This window comes from Homo sapiens, chromosome 17 (genome assembly GCF_000001405.40).
Source record: "Homo sapiens chromosome 17, GRCh38.p14 Primary Assembly".
Classification (NCBI taxonomy): domain Eukaryota; kingdom Metazoa; phylum Chordata; class Mammalia; order Primates; family Hominidae; genus Homo; species Homo sapiens.
The window spans coordinates 81,164,203-81,184,905 of NC_000017.11; the positions used below are offsets into that span (position 1 = coordinate 81,164,203).

At 57.6% G+C, this 20,703-nt stretch overlaps 2 protein-coding genes across 2 annotated transcripts in view, besides 2 other annotated features; one reads left to right on the forward strand and one right to left on the reverse strand.

Annotated features, from left to right (window-relative positions):
• AATK (apoptosis associated tyrosine kinase) overlaps positions 1–2,019 on the reverse strand; it is a 48,927-nt gene extending 46,908 nt beyond the window's left edge. The window contains exon 1 of the mRNA NM_001080395.3: positions 1,736–2,019. Within this exon, the coding sequence (NP_001073864.2) occupies positions 1,736–1,790 (55 nt within the window). The 5' untranslated portion in view covers positions 1,791–2,019. The remainder of the gene's footprint in view (positions 1–1,735) is intronic.
• Positions 73–816: an enhancer, noted in NCBI's record as "H3K4me1 hESC enhancer chr17:79138075-79138818 (GRCh37/hg19 assembly coordinates)". NCBI's record gives its function as "activates a minimal SCP1, AML or CMV promoter by ChIP-STARR-seq in naive H9 embryonic stem cells {active_cell/tissue: H9 hESC(naive)}" and the evidence as "EXISTENCE:reporter gene assay evidence [ECO:0000049][PMID:30033119]".
• Positions 817–1,560: an enhancer, noted in NCBI's record as "H3K4me1 hESC enhancer chr17:79138819-79139562 (GRCh37/hg19 assembly coordinates)". NCBI's record gives its function as "activates a minimal SCP1, AML or CMV promoter by ChIP-STARR-seq in naive H9 embryonic stem cells {active_cell/tissue: H9 hESC(naive)}" and the evidence as "EXISTENCE:reporter gene assay evidence [ECO:0000049][PMID:30033119]".
• PVALEF (parvalbumin like EF-hand containing) lies at positions 1,305–18,964 on the forward strand. The gene is made up of 7 exons (NM_001354639.2): positions 1,305–1,545; positions 2,475–2,642; positions 14,716–14,950; positions 16,921–17,130; positions 17,357–17,492; positions 17,764–17,879; positions 18,763–18,964. Exons 4-7 carry the CDS (start codon positions 17,025–17,027, stop codon positions 18,807–18,809), a joined length of 405 nt encoding a protein of 134 aa, NP_001341568.1. The 5' UTR covers positions 1,305–1,545; positions 2,475–2,642; positions 14,716–14,950; positions 16,921–17,024; the 3' UTR covers positions 18,810–18,964.
• Positions 18,965–20,703: the final 1,739 nt, after the last annotated feature.

A 20,703-nucleotide genomic window follows, 5' to 3' on the forward strand; every position in this document is an offset into this window, starting at 1 on the left:
CAGGCAGAGGGACTGCAGCACAGGACAGCCAGGCTTGGAAGGCTGGGCTAAGTTTAGCGGGAGGGCAGGAGACCCCTCTCTCCTCCCTAACCCTCTCATGGGGGCTGGTGCAGAGCCTAGACCCAGCCCCTTAATCCGAAGGAGGGTCTCCTTCCTCACCAGCACCAGCACCTTGGGCAGCCCCTCCTGGTAGGTGGGCCCCAGAGCCCAGCAGGTGCCTGCAGCTCTGGCCCAGCATCTTGCAGAGGAGAGACGCCCCTTGCCTCCAACAACTTCTTTTCCTCTAAGTCATTAAACGGACACATTAGAATTATTCAGATCACAGCTGTTTACCCAGAGAAGGGCAGAGCCGGTGCTGCTCGAAGGCGGGGGAAAGGGCCTCTCATGGCCAAGGACAAGGCTGGGCCCCGAGGCAGGGTATGGGCCGAGGGTCCTCTCTGTTCTGGGGGCAGAAAGGACCAAGCACCGTGGGCCACGCCTGGCATGGAGATGTGATGAGGACCTGCCCCAAGCCTCCTCCACCCCCTGCCCTTGGGCCGGGGAGACATTACAGCTGTTGCCGTGGCTGTTGGGCTCTGAGCCTTCACCTGCCCACCCCACAGGGACTTCCGAGCCCCAGGGGTCACTACAGGAAGTCATTTCTGAGCAAGTGACACCCACAGCCCTAAGCCCAGCAGACAGACCTCCCACCAGCTCCCTTCCTCCAGGGAGCAAATGCCTTCAGACCGAGATCTGCCCCGGGGACCCCCGTGCCTCCCTGCCAGGCTGCGTGCACTGGGCCCTGCTCCAGGGAAGGAGACACAGGAGATCACGTCACATGCAAACAGGCTTTGTTTGGGCTGGCTCAGCCTGGTGCCAGAGCCCCAGTGACGTGTGGGTGGGACTTGGCCCTGGGGCCATGGATGGCACAGGGCAGGGGGATTATCTCCCACTCAGGCCAAGCAGGGGCCGGATCTGGAGAAGCAGAGGTTTTAGAAAGCCCACTGCTTCCTGGTGACAGATGGGGCTTCCAGCTGTCCCCAGCCCCCTCTGCCTATCCCAGCTGTCCACCACAGCCAGGAGGCCAGGCAGCCATGGGTAATCTCGCCCTGCCCGGTGCACTGGCCATACGGGGTAAGAGGCCTGGCCTCAGGTCCCCTGCAGCCAGCTTGACAGCGTCACCTCGGGCCCCCACTGTCAGGGGATCTGGGCACCCACCAAGGCCCCTCTCTTCTGAGCCTCTGCCCACTGGGCTCTGTAATGTGGACTGGCCCCTGCTCCCCCCACATCCCCCGCCGGCTGCTGGTGGCTGGGCAGGGCTCTGAGAATCGCTCCCAGCCTGGGAAGAAGCCTCCCACGCCAGGGCCCCGGACCCAGGAGAGGCCATGGAAAGCCTGAACCCCAGCTGGCTGACACCCCCCACACCCCCAAGGGCCCTTAGTCTGAGACCAACTCTCCTGGACACCAGGGGCCCACGCAGGCCCTCCGTGCCCCAGTTACCTGTGCCCTGGAGGCAGCCACGGAGTCACGACCACGCGGGGGACGCCAGCCCACAGGCGGAGGCCGGTTTGTGCTGGGGCCCAGGGCCTGCCCCTCCGAGATCTGGGGCCGCCAGGGGGTCCGGCTGCTTCTGCTGCTGGGCTCGGGGCGGGGAAAGGGTTAATTTCCATGCAAACCGGGAGCCGTGGGGCCCAGGGGCATCACGTCCGCAGCGGAGGGAGGCAGCGGCGCGCAGGCCGGGCCGCCAGGGACTCACCGGGGTCGAAGTGCGAGCTGAAGGCGAAGCTGGGGTTGAAGAAGGACGACGACATGGCCGGGCCAGCGGCCGGCGGGCATCCCGGGAGGGCGCTGCGCTCAGGACGCCCGCGGCCCCGGCCCGAGCCGCCGCATCACCCAGCGGCCGCCGCAGGTGCGGAGCGCGCCGGCCCCCGCGCCCCGCGCCCCCCGCCGCAGCCGCAGAGCCCGCACCGGTGGGGGCGGCGGCGACAGACGAGGCGCTCCGCCCGGCCCTGGCGCCGCGGGGCTCCGCTGGTGCAGTCCGAAAACGCGGGCGGGAGCGCGCGCGGAGCGGCGCGGGGGAGGGGGGGGCCCTCCGCGGCCGGGGTGGCATGGGGGGAGCACGGAGAGGGGGACACGGAGGGGGAGACAGAGGGGAGCACGGAGTGGGGGACACAGAAGGGGGCTTGGAGGGGGGACACGGAGGGGAGGCATGGAGGAGGGGGGACGGGGGGCCGTGCACGGAGCGGGGATGGCACGGAGTGGGGGGATGGTCCGGAGCGGGAAGCACGGCGGCCTGGGGCTGAGGGGGGCACGGAGGCTGGCGGGGGGGGGGGAAACGGAAGTCGTGAATGGTAAGTCGTGAGTGGGTACGGAGGGAACGCCGGGGTGGGGGAGGGGGTACTCCTAGGTGGAAAGGTTCAGGGAGACAGGTGGGGGAACCCGGGAGCACACCCAGGGCGGGTCTTGGTGCTCAGGGGCCCTCGCCTCACTTGCAGGTTTCGAGGCGGCTGGCAGCCGCCCCCCCACCCCATGCCCTTTGGGTGGCACCTGTGCTGGTGGAGTGGGGGTGGCTGGCTTTGCACACAGGCCTGCTCCTGTACCGTGCTGCGACAGCCATGAAGGAAGAACCTGGCTGAGTCTCCACCTGCCGTGGACTGTACCAGGTGCTTAGGGCAGCAGGTTGGCCTGGGCGCTGAGGGGCCATCCCTTCCCCTATGTTTCTCCCAGGATCCCCCATCCCCGCCCAAAGTGCCACCTTGCAGGGTTGGGGCGGGGCAGGGTCCCCCCAGCCTGCCCCCGTGGGAGTCGGGAGAGTTAAAGTTCAGTGGAAGCTGGTCCCAGTGGCTCATGCCTGTAATCCCAGCACTTTGGGAGGCCAGGGCAGGCGGGTGGCTTGTGCTCAGGGGTTCCAGACCAGCCTGGGCAACATAGCAAGACACTTTCTCTACAAAAATTAGAAAAATGAGCCAGGCATGGTGGCGCTCACCTGTAGTCTCAGCTACTTGGGAGGCTGAGGTGGGAGGATCACTTGAGCCTGGGAGTTAGAGGCCGCAGTGAGCCAAGATGGCACCACTGCACTCCAGCCCGGGTGACAACAAGATCTTGTCTCAAAAAAAGTGTCCTGGAGACTTGCAGTTGAGTTTGATGCACCCTCATCCACTCATTCATTCACTCACTCATTCATTCACTCACTCATTCATTCACTCACTCATTCTGGGACCAGATGGCTAAGCCCCTTGGCAAGGCCCAGTTGGGGTTGGGGGCTGTGGAGCAGGTGAGAGGCGCCCACTCCAACAGGGCTCTTAGGACTTTAGGGAGAGAAAGGAGCCTGTTCCCGGCAGAGGGACCTGCAGAGACCAGGACAGGATGCTTGGGCCACGGGGCAGATGGGCACCAGGACCCACCCTTCTTTTCCTAAGGGGGTCCCTCATGTAGGAAGTTTCCTCCTAACAGGCAAAGCAAGGGGCCTCCACCCTGTGCCCTCAGACCTTAGGGGTCCCTGGCTGTAGGAGACAAGACACCAACTGCACCTGGGGCAGAAGGAGACAGGGCACCCAGAGCCTTCTTCCTGGCCCTGATCATGTGGCCAGCCAAGGTTCTAAGGGGCGCTGCCGCCAGGCTGCCGTTGCAGGTAAAGAAGCCGCGTGGGTAGAGTGGCTGAAGGGGGCCTTGCCCGCAGGAGGCACTCAGAGGCCTTGGGCCACCTCGTTCAGTCTGTGTCTTCAGGGAGCCCAGAGGGCTGGGAGGATCAGTGCCCACCCAGTGGCAGGGATGGTTGGTGCCAGCAGGCTGTGATCCTGGAGTGCTCCAGTGTGAGGGACAGAGGGTATGGCATACCCTCATGAGTCTCCACTCTGGGTCCCCTGTCAGGGCCTCCCCTCCCCAGCTCAGGAGGGAGTGCCCTCCTCTGCCCAGCCTGGAAGGTGCCCTAGACACCTGGACCTAGGCAGGGGGAGGTGGCCAGTGGCCGTGGGTGGTTGCTGGTTGGCATGTTGGGGAGAGTTTCTGTCCAGAACTTCCATGCCCTCAGTGTCCCTGCCTTGATGACCAGGGCCAGAAACAGCTTGCTGTGACCAGGGGCTGGCTCCTCTCAGTTTTGCCTGTGAACACACACATGTACACTTGTGGCTGGGCCACAGCTCAGGGGCTTCAAGCTGTGGATCTTCTTGGGGCTCCAGGAAGGACAGGGGAGGAGCTGCCCCTGGGCTCCAAGCCAGCACTCCCACCCTACGTAACCAGAGCGACACCCCTTCTCCAGGAAGCACAGGGCCCTCTGAGATTTCGCTGGAACCAGGAGTTCAGATGCTTCCACTGACCGTGACCCTAGTGGGGCCCCCCAGGTGCTGGCTTTTGCCCACGCTGGGACAGGATCAGTGAGCACCTCTGGGTAAGAGGTCCCTGAAGACATAGCTGTCTGCTATCCCCCGGCCTGGGGGAAGGCATGATCTCCGCCCCTGGGACTCTCTAGAGCCCAGAAGGAGCTGACCGAGGAGCCCAGATTGGCTGGGAGAGTGTCGGTGCAGAAGCATTGCCCGTCGAAGAGGAAAAAGGCCAAGAACCCAGCAGGAAGCCCAGGTGTGGTGGAAAAGAGGGGGCAGGGGCAGGAGAGAGCCTGGGGGTCTGGGGATTAGAGACCAGAGTGAGGAACGCACCTCAGGAGCAAAGTTTAGGGGGCACCCAAAAACTCAGCAGTTATGCCCATCCACAGATAAACCATCAACAGGATGTGATCTGTCCATACGATGCAATGGTATTGGTCCATACACAGGACCAAAGCTCTGACCACACTATAACATGCATGACACATGCTACCACATGGATGACACATGAAAATATGCTCAGTGAAAGACACAGAAGGCCACAGAGTGTGTGATTCCACTTGTATGAAATGTCTGGAACAGACAAATCCACGGGACAGAGCACAGGTGGAGGGCCAGAGCCGGGAGAGGGGCAAGTGGGGGCAGTGCAGAAGGGGCACAGGGCGTCTTCCTGGGGGGAGGAAACTTCCCTGAATTAGCTAGAGGTGATGGCTGCCCACCCTGGTGAAGATGCTAAAACACTAAGCTGTACCCTTTAAAGTGGTGAACTTCATGGCATGTGACTTATATCTCAATAAAATTGTTAAAAACAGTAATCGGCCGGGCGCAGTGGCTCACGCCTGTAATCCCAGCACTTTGGGAGGCCAAGGGGGGCGGACCGCGAGGTCAGGAGTTCGAGACCAGCCTGGCCAACATGGTGAAGCCCCGTATCTACTAAAAATACAAAAATTAACCAGACATGGTGGCAGGCGCCTGTAATCCCAGCTACTAGGGAAGCTGAGGCAGGAGAATTGCTTGAAACCAGAAGGCGGAACTTGCAGTGAGCCGAGATGGCGCCACTGCACATATGTCTGTGCATATGTGTAGATGTGTGTGTGTGGGCGGGGTCGCCCCCTCCAGATGCTCCAGGGGAGGGTCCTTCCTGCCTCTTCCGGCTACTGGTGGCCCTAGGCCTTCCTGGGCCTGTGGCTGCGCAGCCCCAACCTCTGCCTGCATCGTCACATAGTCGTGTGCGTGTGTGTGTACGTGTCTATGTGTGTGTATGCATGTGTGTCTGTGCATATGTGTAGATGTGTGTGTCTTGGTATGTATATGTGTGTCTGTGTGTGTCTGTCTTGGTAGGTATATGTGTGTGTGCATGTTCAGTTGCGTGTGTTGGTGTGTGCATATGTGCATAGAGGTAGGTGTGTATCGGTTTGTGTGTGCATGTGTGTCTGCATATGTGTAGGCACGTGTGTCGGTGTTGGTATGTGTACATGTGTGTGCATGTGTGTGTGTTGGTGTGTCTGCATGTGTATGTGCATATGTGTAGGTGTGTTGGCATGTGTGTGCATGTGTGTTGGTGTGTATGTGTGTGCATATGTGTAGGTGTGTGTTGGTTTGTGTGTCTGCATATGTGTAGGCATGTGTGTGTTGGTGTGGATGTGTGTGCATATGTGGTGTGTGTGCATGTGTAGGTGTGTGTGCATGTGTCTTTGCATATGTGTAGGTGTGTTGGTATGTGTGCATGTATGTGTACACAGGTGTGTGTGCATGTCTGTGCATATCCATAGGTGTGTCTGTGTGTGTTGGTATATGTGTGTCTGTGTTGGTATGTAGGGGTGTGTGCATGTGTGTGCATATGTGTAGGTGCGTGTGTGTCTGTGCGTGTGTGTGTGTCCGTCCTCTCCTCTCGTTATCAGGCCCCAGTCATTGCATTAGGACCCCCTGCTCCAGTCTGGCCTCCTCTTGATCACAGCTGCAAGGACCCTACTTCCAACTGAGGTCCCAATTCACAGGTATCAGGGTCAGGACTTGAACATATTTTGGGGGGACACAATTCAACCCCCGATGGGAGTGCAGGGCATGGGAGGGAGGAGGGAGGCAAAGTGGGGAACATGCAGCTGTCAGGACAAGGTCAGCACCTTCCCAAATTCTTCCTGCAGATGTCTGAATCCCAATTAGCCAGTTATAATAGCGTTTCTGCAAGTGTAGCTGCCGGGACTCAGCACCCAAATCTGCCTGCTGGGCACCACAGTAGGCACTGCAGAGCCCCAAGGATGCCCCTGCCTGGCTGGGCCTCACCCTGCAGTGGGCACCCCCCCATTCTGCCACATGCCCCTCCACCATCTTGGCCCTCTTAGAGGCATCTCTAGGGTGCTTGGGCCCCTCCAGCCCCAGCCCCAGCCCTGTACCCACAGGCACCCAGGAGGTAACAGAGCTGGGTGCTCTTCCAGGCTGAGGCAGCAGGGCCCTCAGGCAGGAGGGGCAGCTGGTGCCTCTTAGCCTCCAGCCCTGGCCTCCCCCTTGCCCCGCAGTTGTTTCAGGCAGGAAGGTGGGCAGTGCCAACCCTGCGGGGGTCAGTGAGACCTGAACCTCCCCAAGGGGGCAGTGCCTGTCTAGTGCGGGGACAAGGGGCATAATACTGTCATCCAGAGCTATGAAGTGGTCCTTGTGGCCCTTCCAGGCCGGCGTAGCCCATAGTCGGGGCCAGTGACCTGGGGGCAGGGCTGGAGGCCAGGAGGGGCGGCTCTGAACAGAAATGAAGCCGAAAGGGCCGCCCAGGGGACAGGCCATCTGTCAGCTCAGGGCAGGTGCTGGTTCCGGGAGCTTTGGAGAACACTGCATCTGCCAGCCCGCCCTCCAGCCCAGAGATCCCACGCCAGGCTCCCCAGGCCTTGTGGCCCAGGCGGGCCAGGGGCAGGTCCCCAGCCTGAGCTGCTCACACTGCAGATGCTTCCAGACGCTGGTTTCTTTGGGTCTCGTTTTATTAAAAGCATGATTTCCCACTCCACATATTTCCTTTTTTTTGAGATGGAGTCTCACTCTGTTACCTAGGCTGGAGTGCAGTGACGCCATCTCGGCTCACTGCAAGCTCCGCCTCCTGGGTTAACGCCATTCTCCTGCCTCAGCCTCCCAAGTAGCTGGGACTACAGGCGCCCACCACCACACCCGGCTAATTTTTTTGTAGTTTTAGTAGAGACGGGGTTTCACTGTGTTAGCCAGGATGGTCTCGATCTCCTGACCTCGTGATCCGCCCACCTCAGCCTCCCAAAGTGCTGGGATTACAGGCGTGAGCCACCGTGCCCGGCCACATATTTCCTTTTTTATTGAAAAAATTCACATAACATAAAATGAATCGGCTTGAAGTGAACAATTCAGTAGCATTTGTATTCACAACATTGCGCCCCCATCTGGGTCCAGAACATTCTCACCATCCCCAGAGGAAACCCCAGGCCCCTCAGACAGCACCTGCCCGTTCCCTTCTCCTGAGCCCCCACCACTCTGTGTTCAGTCCCCATGGACCGGCCCATTCTGGACATTTCATAAAAATGGAATCACATGGTATGTGGGGGCGTCTGCCACGCTTCCCTCAGTGGGATGTTCCTCCCAAGGTTCCTCCTCACTCTGGCCTGCTGGTGCCACATGCCTTTCTACAGCTGAGTTACGTTCCATTGTGTGGACGGACTGCAGTGTGTTTATCCGGCCACACCCTGAGGTCAGGGCTGCTTGCTGGAGACAGACTGCAATGTTATTAGTGTTAGGTGTGGGGTGGGAGCACCCGGGACAACCCCACACAGTGGGAAAGCTTTAGGGTGAACCCCACACAGAAGAATATGGCAGGACCATGGACTCTTCCACCTTCTGACCCGCTCATTCCACTAACGTGAACATGGCCAAGGAAAGGGAGGGGCTTCTTGGACAAAAACACTCACTGCAACATTATATCTAATGACAAAAGAACCCTGAAGCTTCTCCTGGTCCAGCAGCAGACGGCCAGTCAAGAAGGTTGCTGGGGCCAGGCGTGGCAGCTCATGCCTGTAATCCCGGCACTTTGGGAGGCCGAGGCAGGAGGATCACTTGGGGTCAGGAGTTCAAGACCAGCCTGGCCTATATGGTGAAAATACAAAAATTAGCCGGCGTGGTGGTGGGCACCTGTAATCCCAGCTACCTGGGAGGCTGAGGCAGGAGAATCGCTTGAACCCAGCCGGGAGGTGGAGGTTGCAGTGAGCCGAGACCGCGACACTGCACTCCAGCCTGGGCGACAGAGCGAGACTCTGTCTCAAAACAAAACAAAACAAAACAAAAAGTTGCTGGACCGTCCTCAGCTCCCAGGCACAACACGGAGTCATCTCCCATCGTAACTGCAGAGTTGTGGAGACGTGGTAAGATGTGACACCGAGAAAGCGGATACTGCAGTCATCTCAGCTCTGTGTAAGAACCAGAGGGGCAGAAACCCGCACGAAGGAAAACCTGTGGTTTCAGGTGGAGAAGCGGCGGCGTGAGGCCTTCTTCACTGTCGTTATTGGGGTATCAGGAAACAAATGCACAGTGAAGCGTCTCCTTCCAGACAGCCCGTGGCCAGGGGAGCTCCTCGGTGATGTGTACCTGTTCTGGTCTCACCCTGGTGACAGCCCTACAAAGGCCCTACCCTATGAGAGATGCCGGCGAGGGGAGAGGTGCTCGCAGAAGCCACCTGCCTCATAGAGATCCCTTCTCCTTCCAGGGCCCTTATTTTAGGAGCTTCATGAGCCGGGCCCTGGCATGGTTCCCTGGCCCCTGCAGTGACCCATGGACAGACAGCTGCTCAGGCCTGGCCACTGGAGGAAGCCAGGTTGTCTGGTGTCTTCTGCTGGCTTCTCAAACACCCTGGCCAACCTGCATGTCCTGGGAGACGCTGCCAGGCCCAGTGGGCCACCTCCATGGACCCTCGCATTCTCCCCTACAGCCCCCATGAAGCAGCAGGTGGGGTGGGAGCTCATGCTACACACAGATGCCCCGAGAGAACCGACTATGTGGCTTGCCCAAGCTCACAGCTGGAAAGCCAGGCCTATATCATATCTTGCTCTATAGGAAAGCACTGAGAATTGGACACATTCCAAGAAACACACTATCTACCAAGACTAAGTCCCAAAGAAATAGAAAATCTGAATAGATCTGTAATGAGTAAGAAGATTGAATCAGTGATCAAAAGTCTCCCATCAAAGAAAGGCCCAGGACCTGATAGTTTCACTGGCGAATGCCACCAAACATTTAAAGAACAAACACCAATTCCTCTCAAACTTTTCCAAAAAACTGAATTCAGCCACTCCTAACTCACTCTATGAGGCCAGCATTACCCTGACACCAAAGCCAAAGAGACTACAAGGAAAGAAAAGTACAGGCCAATATCTCTCATGAACACAGATTCAAAAATCCTCAGCCAAATGCTGGCAAACTAAAGTCAGCAGCATATGGAAAGGATTATACACCATAATCAAGTGGGATTTATTCCTGGAATGCAAGGATGGGCCAACTACAAAATTTGATCAGTGTGATACACCACATTCTCAGGAGAACAGAAAACACGTGATTATCTCAACCAATGCAGAAAAAGACAAAATTCAATACCCTTTCATGATAAAAATGCTCAACAAGCTATGAACAGAAGGAAACTACCTCAACCATCCATGGTGATAAAAACCATCCATGAAAAGCTCACAGCAAACATCATACTCAGTGGTGAAAGGCTGAAAACTTTTCCTCTAAGATCAAGAAAAGCGTGTCCACTCTCGCCACTCCTGTTCAACATAGTACTAGAGTTTCCAGTGGACCAATTAAGCAAGAAAAAGAAATAAAAGGTATTCACATTGGAAAGGAAAAAGTAAGGCTGGGTGCGGTGGCTCATGCCTGTAATCCCAGCACTTTGGGAGGCCAAGGCAGGTGGATCACCTGAGGTCAGGAGTTTGAGACCAACCTGGCCAACATGGTGAAACCCCATCTCTACTAAAAATTACAAAAATTAGCCGGGTGTGATGGCACGCGCCTGTAGTCCCAGCTACTCAGGAGGCTGAGACAGGAGTATCTCTTGAACCCGGGAGGCAGAGGTTGCAGTGAGCCAAGATCACACCACTGCACTCCAGCCTGCACAACAGAGCAAGACTCCACCTCAAAAAAAAAAGAAAGAAAAATGTCTAATTACCTCTGTTTGCCAGGCGCGGTGGCTCACGCCTGTAATCCCAGCACTTTGGGAGGCCAAGGCGGGTGGATCACAAGGTCAGGAGATTGAGACCATCCTGGCTAACACAGTGAAACCCTGTCTCTACTAAAAATACAAAAAATTAGCCGAGCATGGTGGCAGGCACCTGTAGTCCCAGCTACTCAGGAGGCTGAGGCAGGAGAATGGTGCGAACCTGGTAGGCGGAGGTTGCAGTGAGCAGAGATCACGCCACTGCACTCCAGCCTGGGTGACAGAGTGAGACTCCGTCTCAAAAAAAAAAAAAAAATTACCTCTGTTCACAAATGATATGATGTTATATGTAAAGAATCTTAAATATGCCACAAAAAAACTGCTAGAGCTAATTAATGATATCAGCAAAGTAGCAAGATACAAAGTCAACACCCAAGTATCAGTTGCATTTCTATAAACTACCAATGGATAACCTGAAAAGGATTATCCAATTTGTCCAAAAAAGACAAAAACAATTCCATGTATAGTACCATTGAAAAGAATAAAATACTTAGGAATTAACTTAGCCAAGGAGGTGAAAGACTTGCACAATGAAAACTACAAAACATGGCTGAAAAGAAATTAAAGAAGACATAAATAAATAGAAACACAAAAATAAATAGAATCCTATGTTCATGGATTGAAAGACTTAATAGTGTTAAGATGTCAGTATTTCCCAAAGCGATCTACAGAGTCAACACAATCCCTATCTAAATCCCAGTGACTTTTGCAGAAATAGGAAGCCCATCCTAAAATTCATATAGAATCTCAAGAGACCCAAGATATCCAAAACAATCTTGAAAAAGAAGAACAAAGCTGGAAGACTCCTACTTCCTGTTTTCAAAATTCACTACAAAGCTACAGAAATCAAAATGGTATGGCACCCACAGACAGACAGACATATAAACCAGTGGAATAGAACAGAGATCCCAGAAATAAACCTTCACATAATATGGTCAAACGATTGTTGACAAGGGTGCCAAGACCATTCAATGGGGAAAAAACAGTCTTTCAACAAAGAGTGCTGGGAAAACTAGATGTCCACATGCAAAATAATGAAATTGGGCCCTTACCTAACACCATACATGAAAATAACTCAAAATGGATCAAAGACCTAAATGTAAAACATGAAACTCTTAAAAGAAAACAGAGCAAAAGCTTCATGGCATGGGATTTGACAGAGATTTCTTGGATATGACAGCAAAGGCACAGGCAACAGAAGAAAAAAATGGACAACTTTGATTTCATGATAACTAAAAAAATTTGTGGGTCAAAAGAAAATATCAACAGGCTAAAAACGCAACCCAAAGAATGGCAGAAAATATCTGCAAATCATCTGAAAATAGATGAATAACCAGAAATTTAGAGAGAACATATGAAGAACTCCTAAAACTTAATCACAAATAAACAAAATTCAATTCAAAAATGGGCAAAGGACTTGAATAAATAAGACATTTATCCAAAGAAGATATCAAATGCCTAATAAGCCCATGAGAAGATGCCGACCATCACTAATCATGAGGGAAATGGAAATCAAAGCCACAGTGAGGGCCGGGCACGGTGGCTCATGCCTGTAATCCCAGCGCTTTGGGAGGCCAAACTGGGCGGATCACCTGAGGCCAGGAGTTCAGGACCAGCCTGGCCAACATGGTGAAACCCCGTCTCCACTAAAAATACAAAAATTAGCCGGGCATGGTGGCACATGCCTGTAATCCCAGCTACTCAGGAGGCTGAGGCACGAGAATCATTGAACCCAGAAAGCAGAGGTTGCAGTGAGCCGAGGTCATGCCACTGCGCTCCAGCCTGGGTGACAGAGCAAATCTCCATCTCAAAACAAAAAAAAGGAAACAAAACACAATGAGATGCCACCTCACACCCCTGAGGATGGCTGCTATTAAAAAAAAAAAAAAACCTCCAGAGAATCACAAGTGTTGGTGAGGACGTGGGGCTATCGGCCCCTGTGCGCTGTTGGTGGGAATGGAAAACAGTGCAGCTGCCGTGGAAACTCTACGGCAGCTCCTCAAACACTTAAATCAGAATGACAGTATCATCCAGCAATTCCACTTCTGGTTATCATCCCAAAAGAACTGAAAGCAGGGTCTCAAGGAGACATTTGTACACCCATCTTCATAGCAGCATTATTCACAATTGCCAAAAGGTGGACGAAAAATCCAGGATCCATGAACAGGCAAGTGAATACTCAAAATGTGGTGCAACCATGCAATGGAGTATTAGTCACTTTTTTTTTTTTTTTTTTGAGACAGAGTCTCCTTTTGTCACCCAGGCTGGAGTGCGGTGGCGCGATCTCAGCTCACTGCAACCTCTGCCTCCCAAGTTCCAGCGATTCTGCTGCCTCAGCCTCCCAAGTAGCTGGGACTCCAGTCTCGCACCACCAACGCTGGCTAATTTCCGTATTTTTAGTAGAGACAGGGTTTCACCATGTTGGCCAGGCTGGTCTGAAACTCCTGATCTCAGGTGATCCACTCGCCTCGGCCTCCCAAAGTGCTGGGATTGCAGGCATGAGCCACCGCACCAGGCTTGAAACTCCATCTCAAAAAAAAAAAAAAAAAAAAAAGGCAGCCGGGTACAGTGGCTCACGCCTGTAATCCCAGCACTTTGGGAGGCTGAGGCAGGCAGATCACCTGAGGTCAGGAGTTCAAGACCAGCCTAGTCACCATGGTGAAACTCAGTCTCTACTAAAAATGCAGAAATTAGCCGGGCGTGGCGGCATGCACCTGTAATTCCAGCTACTTGGGAGTTTGAGACAGGAGAACTGCTTGAACCCGGGAGGCGGAGGTTGCAGGGCCGAGATCACACTATTGCACTCCAGCCTGGGTGATAGGGTGATAGAGTAAGACTCCACCTCAATAAAAAAGAAAAAAAAAAGGCAAAGATGGTAAATTTATACTATGTGAATTTTATCATGATAAAAAGCACGCAAGAAAGAAGAAAAGCATTAAGGAAATGGAGGAAAAGGCATCGACCGAGCCTGGACATTCTCCAGCATCAAACGTGTGTTCTGCAGGTGACTTTACCTCCACCGTGTTCATCTACATATTCCAAATGTTCTGTAATAAACCTGATTGCTTCATCTCATCCAAAAGCTATTACAGATAATATTTCAATCACCCTAATTAAAACAATCACATGCCTTTAAAGGCCAAAGTTGGGCAAGAATTTAACTGGCCACTAATTGCTGCTGGGGCCAGGGAGGGCTCAGCCCTTTGGGAAAGTGACCTGGCAGGACCCACCAGTGTCTCCTTCCCTGTCTGAGCCTGGACATCTCCCTGATGTCCGACCTGAGGCTCCAGGTGGCCCTGACCTCTACACCTGGCTGGGACGGGTGTAGACTGGATTCGTCTCCTCATCTCCTGGGGTCTCTTGAAGAAGGAGGATAATGCAGCCTCCCTCAAGAGGCTGCTGAGACCCCTGGGGCCCCGCCAATGGCAGATGACACTGTTATTACATTCATTGTCACCTGTCACATATCATGACCGTCACCTTCATTAGTGAGGACAATACCCTCCCACCTCCAACATGAGCAGAGGCTACCACGGCCTATGTAAGAGGCCCGGGCAGTCCTGTGGCTTCCAGTAGAAAGCCAGGCCCCCCCGACCCCGGCAGACAGCCCCATCCCTGGCTTCCTCACAGGCCTGCGGTGCCCAGCATGACCACCCCACAGGGGCAGGGCTGTTGGCACCACCCTCCCTGGCAGAAGGTAACCGTGCCCCTGGTGTATTCAGAGCCAGCCAGGGATCACCTTGGCCCTCCCTGCTCACCACCAGGGGAGGGTGGTTTGGGAGGAGGACGTGGCTTGGATAAACTTTGTCCCATATGAACTTGGAGCCTCCCCACCCCCACCGGCCTGCAGGCTGTGCTGTGCCCCTTCCACCCGGCCCAAGCCCGCAGGCTGGGCCGCAGCACCCACTCGGCTGCCCCTTCAAACCCCACTCACATGTCTGGCCCTGCAACCTGTTTCCTGCACCAGAGCTGGGGGGGGCAGGGTCCCCAGCCTCAATCTCCCTGCACCACCCCCACCGCCCGCAGCCCCTCCCACTGTGTACAACCCGCTGCACTGGAGGCCCGAGGCGTGGGTTCCAGCACCATGACCTTGGGCAGGTCCCTCAGCCCCTCTGACCTCAGGCTTCCAGCTGCTGTCTGCCCAGCTGGCCTCGGTCACCTGCTCACTGGCTCACTGGTGCCCTCTCTTCCTCCCTAACCCCGCCCCAGGTTTGGGGAGGCCAGGCACTGCTAAGGGTCAGTCTGCCCAGACCAGTGTGGACACACCAAGTGCCTGCGAGCCCCTGGGAGCTGCCCGTGCCAGGCTGGAGTGCCGGGGAGGGGCGAGGACAGCTGCAGCCCCGAGATGTAAACAGGCTTGCAGGTATAAAAGCTGGAGCCCCTGGGCCTCTCCACACCCCAGCCTGACCCACCTTCCAGAACTCTCGAAAGAAGCCAGGCAGAGGTAAGCCCTGCCAAGGAGGGGGGTGTGGGTCTCTGGCCGCTGAGGTTATCCGAGCTGGATGGTGGGAACTTGGAGGCCTTCTCTTCATCCACAGGACAAGGGTGGCCCTGGGAGACCCCAGGGGACCCAGGGGAGGTGGGGAAATGGGGTGGAAACAGAAGGAATGGCCCTCCCTGCCAGCAGCACCACTACAAGCCCCAAGGGGGCCCCCGGATGGAAGACAGCTGCAGGTGCCTGGTCCTGCGGGGAGCACATGTGTGCACGTGTGTGCTGGCACGAGCCTCTGTGGGCACGGCTACAAGAGGCGGCTGTGAGCTGGGGCCTCTGCATAGGGAGCTGGACCTGCTCACTCTGTCCCTAGGCCCCCAGGCTCTAAGTGGGGATGGAGATGGGGTGGGGCTGGCAGGGCAGCGAGTCCAAGGCCTCTGGCCCCCGGACTCCAGCAGGCACACAGAGCCGGCTCTGGTCCCCACACTCTGCCCCTGACCCAGAGGGACCCCACTGCCTCTATCACCCCTTCCCCCGAGAGGCCTCTCTCATCTCAGCATCTGCCCTTGGAGACTGGGTGGCAGAGGCTAGTTGCTGTGGGCAGACCACAGCTTCCGAGAATGGAAGGTCGGGAATGGCCCGGAGCAGGGCATCCCAGATGTAGCAATGCTGGGGCGGTGTGTGGTCTGAGGGGTCTTAGCCCAGCCTGGAGGCTCCAGGATCTCTAGCTGTGGAGGGTGGGTAAAGGGAGTGGGGAAACAGAGGCCTTTTGGCAGGGCCTTTCCTGGCACTGAGGGCAGCCCCCAGAATCTGAGCAGGGCCCAAGGACAGCTTGTGTGGCGTCCCGCAGCCTCCCCCGGCCGGACATCCCAGCTCACTGGGATCCCATTAAACTCCAGCCCGGGCCGCGGATGCACGAGCTATAAATAAACCAGCAGCCTGGAGCTCCAGGCCTGCCTCCCACCCTGTCTCCAGCCCGGATCTCGGGCTCCCCTGCCTTCGTTGGGGGCACCCCTGAGAGCAGTGGGATTGGGGGTGGTGAACGAGCCCAGCCCAGGGGCACCCCCAGCACTGGGCAGATGGGACATTGGTTCCTGGCTTGGCCACATTTAGCCTGGAATTCGGCCCAGCCCCTCCTCTGTAAAGGAGGTGACATTGGGCCCGGGGCCCCGAGTGGTAGGTGGGTGTTCCCTCTTCCAAAACAGGTCCCCAAGATGCCAGGGTTGGGGAAGGTGAGCCAGAGTCCCAGCTCTGAATGAAGTGGGGCGGGGCCTGTCCTGAGGGCCTCCGAGGCCCAGTCCTGCCCCACATGCCCGCTCACCACCACCCTGCTGGCTGGGGGAATCAGCCACTGCAGGGGCTGTGGGGGCCCAGCTCCAGCCCCACAGCAGCGGGCAAGCCCATTCCCCACCATCTCCCTTCCCTCCTGGCTCCTCGCACAACCCTGTGAAGGGGCAGGCGTCTCCCCACATCACATGGCAGCTGGAGGCACCGAGGGTTGGGGAGCAGGACCTGGTCCAGGGGCTGCAACTGGCGCTCCTCACACCTCTGGGGCGCCAGGGTTGGGTTGCAACCCTTGACCTATGGCCTCTCTATCCAGAGGAGAGCAGAGATGCCTCTGGCCACTGCTCAGCCCCACTCGAGAACACAGGCCGCCCCTCCTGGCAGCAAGAGCGTTCCAGAAGGCTCTACCACCCTGTGAACTTTCACGAGGGCCAAGAAGCCCAGGACACCCGCTTCCCCTTGCGCTCTGAGATAGCTGCTGTGCTGAGCCCCAGAACCCAACCCCCCCTGGGGACGGCAACCTGAGAGCCCAGCAGGTCACAAGGCGCTGCCGTGAGGCGCACAGGATGGCCCGGCCCCTCCCGCTGACCCCTCTGCCTGTGCCCAGACCCCCACCTGCCTGGCTGGGATCCCAGCATGTCTCGGGGCCCTGGCATGACCCCAACACTGTGACGCCTGTCACCATTCCCACTTTACAGCAGGATCCAGCACCACGCGGCGTCTACGTCTGCTCTGGCCCAAGCAGCACCCCCAATCCGTGCGTGCACCCCACGAATTGACTCCCTATCCACCCAGGACCAGGATGGAGGAGGACTTCTCCTCCCAGATGAAGAAGATGGCCTTGGCCATGGGCACGTCCCTATCAGACAAGGACATTGAGCTGCTGCCCACAGACATGAGACACCACGGTACAGCATGCCCCCGCCCGGCGCGGCCCCCCGCCCGTCCAGCCCCGCTGTGGTCAGGAGACCTCATCCCTTTTCTGGGGCTGATGGGTCCAGGACACCAGGACCTGCGGCGGGCGGGGACATGGGGGTGCAGGACCCGGCAGCCCCCATCCCAGGGCGGGGTCTTCCCTGGAGGCCCAGCTCAAGTGAGGTGGGCCCCTCCGTGAGCCCCGCCTGGTTGCCCCAGGGTCCTTCAACTACCTCAAGTTCTTCAAGCACATCCGCAAGCTCCACGCCTCGGGCCAGCTGGACGACGCCATCCACACGGCCTTCCAGTCCCTGGACAAGGACAAGAGTGGCTTCATTGAGTGGAACGAGATCAAGTAATGGCTGGCGGCCACGGAGGGGTGGGGCCCAGGCCACCCAGACCACGCCGAATGCCCACATGGCGGACCCGGCCTTCCCCCACCGGGTCCCCGCTGGCCTTGCAGCTGGCAGGGCTGGGCCAGAACCAGCTAGAAGCCCAGGAGGCTCAGAGGCCCAGGCTCCCGGCCCGAAGTGCCCTTGCCTACAAGGTGGGGGGCGAACGGCTCGTGAGTCACTGGGCACTGGCCGGAAGCCCCTTGGCCCTGACTCGAGCCCCCTTGGCCCCAGGTACATCCTGTCCATCATCCCCAGCAGCGGGCCCACCACCCCGCTGACAGACGAGGAGGCCGAGGCCATGATCCAGGCGGCAGACACACACGGGGACGGGAGGATCAACTACGAAGGTGGGGGCAGCACAGCCGGGGCACCCTCAGGACCCTCCTTCCCCTGCTAGGCCGCCACCCTTGCCCATGGCCCCGCCCCGAGGGCACTGGCACACAACTCACAGATGAGGAAACCCAGGCTCAGGGGTCTGGGCCGGGAGTCTAGGTGCTCTTCCCTGGGCCAAGGGCCCCACTGCAGAGAGGTGGCCAGGAGGGCTTTGGGAAGGCCAACTGTGGCAGAGCCAGCGGGTATGGGGTCTCAGAGCTCGGGGTGCCATCTTCTGGGGGACCCACGGTCTTTGAGGCTCTCCATGGCTGCCCTGAGGTCTGGGCCATCTCACCCCCACACAACCCCAGTGGCTGGCCACAGGCCTGGAGGGTGGAGGGCACACAAGGTGGGCTGGGCCTCCAGACACCGCTTGCCCAGCCACCGGCCGTTCTCATCTGCCTGGGTCTAGAAACCCCAGCAAACCTGGCTTGTGGCGGGGGGGTCACAAGGCTTGACAGGCATCCTGACCCCTCTCAGAACTCAGGCCCCCCAGCTGCTCCGTGCCTCAGTTTCCCCACTGAGAGATGATCATCAATGAGCACCTGCTCTCAGAGGGTCTGGTGGGAATTCCTGAGAGTCTCTGCAGAGAGCCAGGCCACTGCAAGCCCCCAGTCCCCAGCTGGGGTCAACTTGTGACGACCAAGCAGCTGGGCCCAGGACAAACAGCTCCAGCGTGGGGCCGCCCCCGGCCAGATGGGCTGGAGGCCTGGTCCCTGCTCAAGGACTTGGGGACAGGACCCCCTGGACTGTGTAGTCCAGGCACACTCCCTCTGCCTCCTCTGAGAGTTAAAGGGCCTACAGGAACTGGGGGACACAAAACAGGGGTACTTACTTTAAATTGGTCTCCTGCTCTAGAATTTTCTGAATTGATCAAAAAGGAGAAAATTCCAAAGAAGAAGTAGCACCATGACTAGCCCTGGCCAGCCAAGGGGCTCCCATGGGGTAACCGGGGTGACCACGCACCTGGGCAGAAGCCGTTGGGGCCGGTAAGAGGCGGCAGCCGTGAGGGTGGACCCAGCTTTTGAAGGAAAATGGAAGAAAAGCAGCATTAAGTGAATGACGCAGCCTGGTGTGTCTGTTGGGGATGCTGGTATGAACTGGGGTGGGGGCAGCATCAGGGCCATGGGTGACAACGGCTGGGGGGCAGGGTGGGCGTGTGAGGGTGGGAATGAAGACGTCTTCTCCCATCTCCCAGCCCCACCTGGCTGTGGGCAGCCCCCAAGGGCAACCCTGTAGTGAGATTCCATCCGGGTGGGCCTCCGGTCAGCAGGGTGCACAGTGCTCTCTGGGCCCAAACCCCTGAAGGGCCCCTTCCCAATCTGCAATGGACCTGGCCTGAGGCCACGCACTCCCAGTCCATACCTGAACGCAGTATGGGGACACCTGCAGCCCCTGGGTGCCCCCGGCAGGGGCCTCGTTCCAGGCCAAAGCACCCAGCAGACCCTCCACCTCCATCTCTTGCCTGCTCAGGCCCCCGGGCCGGGCCCTTCTATCTCCTGGCTGCGTGTCTCCCTCCATGGTGCTCCTCTCCCCACTTAGTGCTTCCGGCAGGACCCCAGCCCAGTCCTTGGTCCTCTGTCCCACCCACACTCACCTGCCTGGAACCCCCTCATCTGGTGGCTTAAGGGCCTCCAGCCCCGGCAGTTCCCAGCCCCCAGGTCCTGTGAGCGGCAGGGGTCTGGGTCCCCTTGGTGCCATTAGTGGGTGTGGGTGTTGCCCTCCAGCTGCTCACTGGCCACACAGGACTCCAGGCCCTCTGGGCTGGTGGCACGGAGGGTGTTGGGAGCCTGAGTCCCGGCTCACCCCAGAAGGGAAGACACCCGCCCATCAGGGGAACCCTTGCTGGACTTACGGGAGTGAGAACACAGCCATTCCAGGGGCGAGTGTGGCAATGTCAGGGTCTATTTGTCGCAGCAGCAAGAGTGAGGCTGATTCACACACCATCCTCACAGCCCACCTGCGTGTAACTACAGGCTCCGTCGTGAAATACACACAGAGCCCACTGCCCGCACCACCCTGGCCATGGTCACTCTCGCCTGGGCAACCACCACAGCCCCCTGGTTGGTCTCTCCACCTCTACCCTCTGAAGGTCCTTCCTCATCTTGGTGTCTGGAGGGCTCTCCCCTCACATAGGGTGACTCTAGGGGCCTCAGGCACTCTGACTCCCACTTTCCCTCTGACCTGAGACCCCCAGGTCCTGCCCCTCCTGATGCAGCCACGTGGCCCCCTTGCCTCCTCAGCCAGGCGCCACCTTGCCCTGGGGCCTTTGCACCTCCAGCCCTCAGCCTGGCATGCTCTTCCCTAGACATCCGGCTGCAAGACAGACTCTCTCTTCTTCGATGTTTTCTGCAAATGTCGAATCCCAATGAGGTCGTCTTTACCTGCCCTGTTTGATATTTCACTCACCCTCGCCAACATCCTGCATCCCCCTAGACCAGGTCTTTTCCCCAAAGCATTCCCCATCCCCTAATATGCTATGACATTGGCGTATGCACGCGTTTATTATGAGCAAACAAAGCAGGGGTGCTAAGATCCAGAGCAGGGGAGCTCTGAGAGGTGAGTGCAGGCGGTACAGGCTGCCCCATCGGGCGTCTGCCAGTCAGCAGTGGGACTGAGAGGGCGCCGGGCGGCCTCCTGCTGTCCAGGGCCTGTCCGGGAGGAGGGGCTTTGGCTACAGCTGCTATGGGCTACCCAGTGGGAGTAAGAACAGCAGAGAACCCGACCCGACCTCACCAACTGGAGGCTGCCCTCACCGTCAGTGCAGAGCCCAGAGCTCAGCCCCTCCCCTCCCCGTCA

Excerpts from the sequence above, each read along its gene's own strand:
- PVALEF (NM_001354639.2), top strand. The coding sequence starts at position 17,025 with ATGGAGGAGGACTTCTCCTCCCAGATGAAGAAGATGGCCTTGGCCATG. Across the intron at positions 17,131-17,356 it reads CACAGACATGAGACACCACG|GGTCCTTCAACTACCTCAAG; the intron begins GTACAGCATGCC and ends TGGTTGCCCCAG. Across the intron at positions 17,880-18,762 it reads CGGGAGGATCAACTACGAAG|AATTTTCTGAATTGATCAAA; the intron begins GTGGGGGCAGCA and ends CTCCTGCTCTAG.